We start from the raw sequence: 10343 nt of genomic DNA, 5'->3' as shown, positions 1-10343 counted from the left end.
TCATCCTGCTTTCATACTATGGCCCATGTAACAAGAACTCAGCTTCTCAGAGGAATTTCAGTAAGGAAAATTTCCTCTTCTCTTCCCTGGAGCATCAAGGAGATGTAGGTGATGATCAATGCTCCTTCAAGGTCCATCACATTGCATTTGCACTTTCTTACTGAGGCTTGCTGCCAATATAATGCTTTCCATTACATCACTCTAGAGCTCTTGAATTCGAAGACCTCCTGTGTCAGGGTCAAAAGCAAGGCTGTAGAATTACAGGGGATTCTAAGTGTAGTGAATATACTACAGACATTCCACTGGTTTTGATATAATAACCTGTTGAGATTACTTTTATTTATTTTACTATAATAAATACCAAATACATATGCACATACAGTCATACATCTCATAATTACATTTTGGTCAATAACTGACTGCATATAAGATTATAGTGGAGCTGAAAAATTCTTACTGCCTAGTGATGTCATATCTATCATAGCATTGTAGTGCAATGCATTATTCATGTGTTTGTGGTTAGCTGGTATAAACCAACCTACTTCACTGTCAGTTGTATAAAAGTATAGCACATATAATTATGTAGAGTAGATATTTCTAATGATAACAAATGACTGTATTACTGGTTTATGTATTTACTATAAGATACTTTTTATCGTTATTTTACAATGTACTTCTTCTACTTATAGAAAAAAAAAGTTAACTGTAAAGCAGCCTCAGGCAGATCCATTATATTCAGAAGAAGGCACAGTAATCATAGGAGATGACGGCTTCATGCATGTTATTGCTCCTAATGACCTTCCAGTGGGACATGATGTGGAGGCAGAAGACAATGTTATTAATGCTCCTGACCCTGTGTAGGCCTAGGCTAATGTGTGTGTTTGTGTCTTAGTTGTTAACCAAAAGTTTAACAGTAAAAAGAAAATAAAAAATTTTAAAAAGAAAGAAGCTAAGCTGTCAGAAGAGAAAAAGTAACAAAGATCAGAGGATAAATAAAGGAAATTTAGACCCCAAGAAACAATGCAAAGGCTCAACAAAGTGAAAATTGGTTCTTTTGAAAGATAAACAAAGTTGATAGATCACTAGCTAAATTAACCCAGAAAAAGCAAAACTCAAATAAGTACAATTGAATGAAAAAGGACACATTACAACTGATTACATAGAAATGCAAAAGATCATCAGAGACTACTATGAGCATCTCTATGCACACGAACTAGAAAACCTAGAGGAAATGGATAAATTCCTGGAAACGTACTACCTCCCAAGATGAAACCAGGAAGAAATAGAAATCTTGATCAGAGCAATAATGAGTACTGAGATTGAATCAGTAATAGTAATAATAATAAAGGACCAGTCAGATTCACAGCTGAATTCTGATAGATGTACAAAGAAGAACTGGTTCTAAAAAATCGGGAAGGGACTCCTCCCTAACTTGTTCTGCAAAGCCAGTATCACCCTGATACCAAAGCCAGGCAAGCAAACAACAGCAACAACAGAAACTACAGGCCAATATCCCTGATGAACATAGATTAAAAAATCCACAACAAATTACTAGCAAACCAAATCCAACAGCACATCAAAAAGATAATTCACCACAATCAACTGGGTTTTATTCCAGGGATGTAAGCATGGCTCAACATTTGCAAACCAGTAAATGTGATTCACCACATAAATACAATTTAAAACAAAAACTATACAATCATCTCAATAGATGCAGACAAAGCATTTGATAAAATTTAGCACCGCTTCATGTTAAAAACCCTCAGAAAACCAAGCATCAAAGGAGCATACCTCAAAATAATAAAAGCCATATATGACAAACCCACAGACAACATCATACTGAATAGGGAAAAGTTGAAAGCATTCCCCGTAAGAACTGGAACGAGTCAAGGATGCCTACTTTAATCACTCCTATTCAACATAGTACTGGCAGACCTAAATAGAACAATCAGGCAAGAGAAAGAAATAAAAGAAATCCAAATTGGAAAAGAGGAAGTCAAATTATCTGTTTGCTGATGATATAATCTTATACCTAAAAGATCCAAAAGACTCTTCCAAAGACTCCTAGATTTAATAAATGACTCAGTAAAATTTCAGGATACAAAATCACCATACAAAAACCAGTAGCATTTCTATACACTAATAAAGATCAAGCCGAAAACCAAGTCACAAACTCAATACCATTTAGAATAGCTACCAAAAAAAAAAAAAAAAAACACACACACACACACAAAATACCTAGGAATACATTTAACCAAGGTGGTGAAAGATCTCTATGAGGAGAACTAAAAAATACTGATGGAATAAATTGTAGATTCTTCTATCAGTATTCTTTCCACATACAAATGGAAAAACATTCCGTGCTTATAGATTGGAAGAATCACTATTGTTAAAATGACCATACTGCCCAAAGAAATCTACAGATTCAATGCAATTCCTATCAAATTACTAATATCATTTTCCACATAATTAGAAAAAACAATCTTAAAATTCATATGGAAACAAAAACAAAGCCTGACCAGACAAAGCAATCCTAAGCACAAAGAAAAACTTCTGGACATTGACCTAGACAAAGAATTTATGACTCAAAAGCAAAGGCACCAAAAACAAAAATAGACAAATGGGACTTAAACTGAAAAGCTTGTGCACATCAAAAGAAACAATCAACAGAGTAAACACACAACCTACAGAATGTGAGAAATATTTGCAAACTATTCATCTGATGAAGGACTAATATCCAGAATCTATAAGAAACTAAAACAACTCAACAAGAAAACAAACCCCATTAAAAAGTGGCCAAATAATACACTGGTAATACTGTGGGTTTTTATTCTAATCTTATACTCCAGATAGGAATGGGGGAGGTGATTCCTGGGCTTAATTTTCTTTAAGGACATGGGAATTTGGCTTCTTTTTTATTGCCATGGGCTCTTTTGGAAGACAGTGAGTTGATTAGTAGGGAAGAACAATAGGGAGTTATAGACTGAGATCAGGGTGTACTGGCTGAACTGTGGAAACAGTATGCAATTCTGCATTCCTCAGTAAGTGAGATTAGCATCTAATGAGTAGCACACCTTTACTGACTTACTAAGTAGTGGTATAAAGGGATTTTTATTTAGTTGATTACCAGGGGGATTTAGCATAAAAGTTCTGGATTCAATAAATCAAGTCAGATTAGATCATTCACCTTAACTTTTACTTTAGCAGCCATTTCCACTAATTTCCATTAATAGTGTTCTATAAAGTTTGGTTCAAAGTGGAATCAATGTCTTTTCCATCTTGTGACAAATTTCTGTGACTATGATGCACGTGAGTGTTTTCATTTCATCTTGTAACTATGGTGTTCCTTTCACCATGACATTCACAAGATCAAATGAATAACTGACCAGAATGAGAATTGTCCAGTGGCCAACAAACGTGAAAAAGTTCTCAATATCACTAATCATCAGGGACATGCCAATGAAACCACAGTGACATACCATCTCACAACAGTCAGAATGGATATTATTAAAAAGTCAAAAAACAACAGATTCCCATGTTTCAGGGGAGCTTAAAAAGATTGACAAGAACAAAACAACAGATGTTTGTGAGGATGTGGAGAAACGATAATGCTTATACACTGTCGGTATGAATGTAAATTAGTACAACATTTATGGATGGAAAACAGTATGGAAATATCTCAAAGAACTAAACAGAAACTACTGTTTGATCCAGAAATCCCACTACTGGGTATCTACCCATAGGAAAATAAATCATTGTATGAACAAGAAATCTGCACTTGTATGTTCATCACCACACTATTCACAGTAGCACAGTCATGGAATCAATCTAAGTGTCCATCAATGGATGATTGGATAAAGAAAATGTGAGTAGTATTTTATGGTGTATATGTGTATATACCTTCAGTGTGTGTATGCCTCAGTATGTGTGTATTTCTTCAGTGGAAATAACTGAGAAACAAAGGCAAATCCCACATGTTCCCCCTTATAAGTGGGAGCTAATAAATGTGTACACATGGACATAGAGAGTGGAATAACAGACACTGGAGAGTCCAAAAGGTAGGAGGGAGAGAAAGGAATAAGGGATGTGAAATTACCTGTTGGGTACAACGTACACTATTTGGGTGATGGTTACACGGAAAGCCCAGACTTCACCACCATAAAATATATCCATGTGAAAAAATATATACTTGTACTCCCTAAATCTATAAAAATAAAAAAAAATAGAAAAAAGCTTATAGAATAAGGATATAAAGAGAAAATATTTTTATACAACTGTACAATATCTCTGTTTTAAGCTGTGTTACAATAGTCAAAAAGCTAAAAAAATTAAAAAGTTTATGAAGCTAAAAATTACAGTAAGTTAAACTTAATTTATTATTGAAAAAAGAAAAATTTTTAAATAAATTTAGTGTAGCCTAATATACTATGCTTATAGAGTCTACAGTCATATATAATAATGTCCTAGGCCCTCATATTCACTCACGACTCATTCATTGACTCACCCAGAGCAACTTCCAGTCCTATAAACTCCACTTATCTTGTGTCCCCCCATAGGTGTACTCTTTTTTTATCTTTTTTTTTTTTTCGAGACGGAGTCTCGCACTGTCGCCTGGGCTAGAGTGCAATGGCATGATCTCGGCTCACCGCAACCTCCTCCTCCCAGGTTCAAGCAATTCTCCTGCGTCAGCCTCCTGAGTAGCTGGGATTACAGGTGCCCGCCACCATGCCCTGCTAATTTTTTATATTTTTGGTAGAGATGGCATTTTACTATGTTGGCCAGGCTGGTCTTAAATTCCTGACCTTGTGATTACTGCCCGCCTTGGCCTCCCAAAGTGCTGGGATTACAAGCATGAGCCACTGCGCCTTGCCTATTTTTTATCTTTTATACTGTATTTTTACTGTAACTTTTCTACAGAAATATTGACCATTGTGTTACAATTATCTATAATGTTTAGTATAGTAACATGCTATACAGGCCTGTAGCCTCAAAGCAATAGCCATACAGCCTGGGTGTGTAGTAGGCTATACCATCTAGGTTTATGTAAGTACACTCTATGATGTTCACACAATGACAAAATTGCCTGACACATTTTTCAGACTGTATCCCTGTCTTTAGGCAATACTATATAACATATAATAATATATTTATACTTATTTTACCTACATCTATTATACTATATTATACTATTATTATAAAACTTATTAAATAACTATGATATATGATATAATGTATACTAATATTTAGTATTCTTATACTATATTATATGTTATACTCCTCTATATTATATCATAATAAATAGAAAATTTATAGAATACAAAATACAATATTGTATTAGTCTGCTAGGGGGTGCCATATCAAAATACCATAGGCTGGTTGGATAAAATAACAAAAATTCATTTTCTCCCTGTTCTGGATGTCAGAATTCTAAGATCAACATGCTGGCAGAGTTGTTGTCTGGTGAGACCCTTGTGTTTGGCTTGCAGATAGCTACCTTTTTTGCTGTGTCCTCACATGACCTTTCCTCTGTGCGGGTGTTCCTGGTGGTTCTTCCTTTTCTTAAAACACTAGTTCTATTTGATTAGGACCCCACCCTTATGAACTCATTTAATCTTAATTACTTCCTTAAAGGCCCTTTCTCCAAATAGGTCACACTGGGGGTCAGGGCTTCAATATATAGATTTGCAGGAGGGAAGGCAGACAATTTAGTCCATAACAAATATGTATTATAAGAATTAACTATATACATAAGTATGGAATTAATCAACATTTAGAAATTCTACATAGACTGGGTGCGGTGACTCATGCCTATAATCCCAGCACTTTGGGAGGCCGAGGCGGGCAGATCACTTGAGTTCAGGAGTTTGCAACCAGCCTGGCCAATGTGGTGAAACTCCATCTCCACTAAAAATACAAAAATTAGCTGAGCATTGTGGCGGGTGCCTATAATCCCAGCTACTTAGGAGGCTGAGGCAGGAGAATCACTTGAACCTGGGAAACGGAGCTTGCAGTGAGCCAAGATCACACCACCACACTCCAGCCTGGGTGATAGAGTGAGACTTCATCTTAAAAAAAAAAAAAATTCCTACATAAAACTAAACCGTCTAAACTACACTTTCCTATTTATAATAAAAATAACTCACACATTCCTTTGGAGTAGGTACAGAACACCACCTTTTAACCTCTAGGTGGGTGTCTGTGATGGTTCATTTATCATCTCATAGGTAGGAATGCGTCTTCTTCAAAGTGATCCTTTAGGCTATCACTGTGGATTGGAATCACTGTGACGACTTTCATCACCATGAAGTCCAGGGTATTAGGTCAGAGACTTGATCTTTCAATGTTAGGGAAACAAAGGACAGCAGGTCCTCTGAAGCAGGAACAAGTGTCATCAAGCTCTTAGGATTTTTATACTTAGTGAACCCTAATATGTTGCACTAGACATATGTACAACCCCTAGCCATCTGGTTGTAAATTTTACATATGTGCAAATAAGTCCAATCTGATATGTATCTCCTGATAAGAGCTGTCACTGGACTGGAGAAAACTTATATATCGGTGTTGACAATGTCCTGAGAACAAACTGGGGCTTTAGTTCTATACTCTGTACTTACATGCAATCTACAAAGACCTTGTCTTAAAAAGGTAGGCTTCTAGGCATATTGGCCTTGCTTTTGTTCCTCTCCCAAGTTATTGATGGGTGTGAGGCAGCTCATGTTCCTCCTTGAGGGGGCTATGTAGGGTATATACTCTGACCACATCTCATCCTCAGATCCAGAACTGGGGAGGAGGAAAGGAGTAGGATGGATAATTTTAACCTTTTAACCTAAGGCCCAAATTGCATTCTACAACTTAGCTTGACCATAATAAAGATGCATTTTAATCCACGTCTAACTACCTGTGTTCATTCTCAAGTAGGTACAAAAGAAGAGAGAGGTCATTAGTGAATACTCTTCCAACCTCAACATTGGATTTTGGTGAGGTTTAGCCCTTAGTAAGAAGACTTAAGCCCAGTTGTCACAGTTGGGTATTATTTCAGACTTGGACTGATAGGGTAATTTGATGGGCCAATGTTGTGGTCCAAAAGCTAGCAAAATATCATTCACCCTACTTTAATTAATCTTAAGAACTGCAGTCAGTGATGAAACTTAGGGTATTACCCAAGAGACTCAAAGTAGAAATGAGCATGTGTAGTCTTCACATCAACTTATGCCTAGAAAGTAGGATGTTGTATTATTTTATTAGATTTATTCTAACATCAGGCTGATATATATGAGATTTAAGTAATGTTGAAACCTCTTGGAAATAAAATAGGAAAAAATATTTGTTTTTTAAAAAGAATTTTATCTATAATAAATTTTTATAAGGTGCTATCTCTGAGTCTGACTTCCACCTGTTTCTTTTTTTTGTAACATGGACTGATTGAGAATAACTAGCCAATGATTCAAAGTTATATAAGTTATAATTAATTTTAATTCAGGGATTTTCTTATGTAAGGACTATAAGGCTAAATAGAAAATAGTAATTAATGATTTAATGATATTCCAAAGATTCACCTGCTCTCTTTTTCGACTGTCTTGGATCAAAATGTTATTCTGTAAATTATCCTGAGTTACCAGGAACTGAGATTCTAGATATACAGCTGTCAACTACCTCTAGGGATTATCTGGGAATAGAATAAGGGAATTTTATTATATGCTAAAAGAGTTGCTTGGGAAGTCAATTTGGGAGGGAGGAACCATTTCTCTTGTTCATTCTTTCTAATCTTCAATTGAAAAACATTAGTAAAAATAAATATTTAAGAAATTTAATGTATTCTAGAAAAAAACCTTAAATGTCAAATATCCTTTGTCTGCACTAAATGATAATTAAACAGTGCCTACTCACAAATGACTTGGGCAACTATGGTGCCTAAGAGCAGTTGGGGTACTCGGGTGCTATTATTTGGATATGGTTTGTTTGTCCTTACCGAAACTCAGGTTGAACTTTGATCCCCAATGTGGCAGTGTTGATGGGCGTGGAGCTAGTAGTAGGTGTTTGGGATATGGAGGCAGATGCCTCATGAATGGCTTGTTGCTGTTCTTGAGGTAGTAACTGGATTAGTTTCCTCAAGAGTGGGTTGTTATAAAGCCAGGATGCCCCTCAGGTTTTTTTCATTTGCATATGTCTGCTTCCCCTTTGACCTTCTCAGCCATGTTGTGACAAAGCTTGAAAGTCCTTGCCAGAAGCCAGGACCATGCCCTTGAACTTCTCAGCCTGCAGAACTGTGAGCTTAATAAACTATTTTTCTTTATTGATTACTCAGTCTCAGGTATTCTTTTATAACAACGAAAATGGACTAAGACACCTAGCTAGAGAACCCTTGGGTGCTCACCCTTCAACTGCACTAGGTGTTGCAGTCCAAGGTCTGTGCCCTGAGTTGCATTCCCCTAGACCAAGCCTACTGCCTTGAACATTGAAAGAAATTAATAAATTGTTATTGAACATACCACACACACATATGCTCTCTCTTATTTTATTTATCCATCCTTCCAGATTCTTCTTCATGTACAGTTGTCCCTTGGTGTATGAAGGTAACAGCTTCTAGGACCTCCCTCCCTGCCAATAGTAAAATCTGAAGATGCTCAAGTCCCTTATATAAAATTCATAGTATTTGCATATAACTTATGCACACCCTCCTGTATACTTTAAATTATCTCCAGATTACTTGTAATACCTAATGCAATGTAAATTCTATGTAAATAGTTGTATTATATTGTTTATTTTTATTTTTATTGTTGTATATTTTTTTTTACTTTTTCTGAGTATTTTCCATCTGAGGTTGGTTGAATCTGTAGATGTGGAACCCGAGGATAAGGAGTAAAGGGTGGGAATTGGGTGTTTACTTAATTTTTCCAGGAAAATATGAGGTGGTTTGGATAATGAATTCGTTATCAAATCATTTATAGGTATGTACCAAATATGTTTCCATTCTGTTGTGCATGTTATCTTTATTAATTTAATTCATCTTAGATGTATTAGTTTACCCTCCTCATACCAATAAGTTCTTCTTCCTTCTCGTAGTCCTTATGCAATTCGTTAGTGTATTTTTTGAGGTATGGATCAAGAGTGATTCTTATCCTCATGAATATTTAATTGCCTTTATGTTTTTAAAAGTTGTTTATTTTCCCATTGTTGTATAACATTTTGTACTGATGATTTATTCAAAAGGGCAACTCAGAGCTCCAATCAGTAGAATATGGACCTCTTTTAAGATTGACCAAATGAATGTACATTTGTGTTTTAAGTTAACATAGTGTGGTCATCATTCTAAACAATTGTTTTGATTGTAATTAGTTGTTTTGATTAATTGCTAGCATCTACTACACTAGATAAGAGGGTGTCTTTATTCATTTCATAAAAAGTTTCAAAAAATATTGCAATTGTTATGTAAAATAAGTTTATTGTTCTGGACTAGCTTTGTCATACAGCTGCATAACTTAATATAATCTTGAGGCTGAGCACCTTTTTTTTTTGTTTTTGTTTAATCACATGGATTATGGAAAGAAGTGGGGCCCAGATGAGGAGGAGTCTAGGTGTAACAAATTGGAATAAAATATTTCCATTTTCTTTCAACTGGATTTGGCTAATCACTTTTGTATCAGGTTAAATTGTAAGAAACCCCCAGGGCAGGTACTTAATAACTCAGTAGTTCTTGGCTGAGGACCCTTACTCCCAATTCTTCAAACCCACCCACCACCCTGCACACGATTGGAGTTTGTGAGCTCTGCTTGATGGATAGCTACTCTGGTAGCCTGCTTCTGAGGGTAGACAGTTTTTAGTTGTGTGTTTTCATTAGTTCTAGATTTTTCCTTTTAGTCACTATCTTCCCAATAAACAGTCATATTTATGTGACTGTCATGTCATATGAACCTAGCAGCCCTTTGAAACTCTTCTTCTATGTCCTAATACTTCATAATTTTATATTAATGAATCTCAAGTATTTAAAGTAAAACTGATGTTAAAGTTTGTGATAATAGCAACCAGAGTTGCTATTAATTGTGTATCTTTATTTTATATGTTAAACTTTTGCAGCTGGAATAACTGATTTCCTGGAGTATTCTGGCTATATAATTCATACTAGGTTGTAATCAATAATGTTCTTTATACCACCACCCCACTATCCCAAACTCAATTCCACCCCTACCCTACCCACCCTCCTACCTCCCTACCCTTCCAACAATCCCACCCTCCCCACAGCCCCACCCTACTCTAGCCTCTCCCACTCTCCCTACTCTCTCAGCCTTCCCCACCCTACCCCACCCCATTCCCTTGATGCTGGTAGATGCTGAAATGATCAGGAC

Source organism: Homo sapiens, chromosome 7 (genome assembly GCF_000001405.40).
Source record: "Homo sapiens chromosome 7, GRCh38.p14 Primary Assembly".
In the NCBI taxonomy this organism is placed as follows: Eukaryota; Metazoa; Chordata; class Mammalia; order Primates; family Hominidae; genus Homo; species Homo sapiens.
This window is presented reverse-complemented; position numbering follows the sequence as displayed.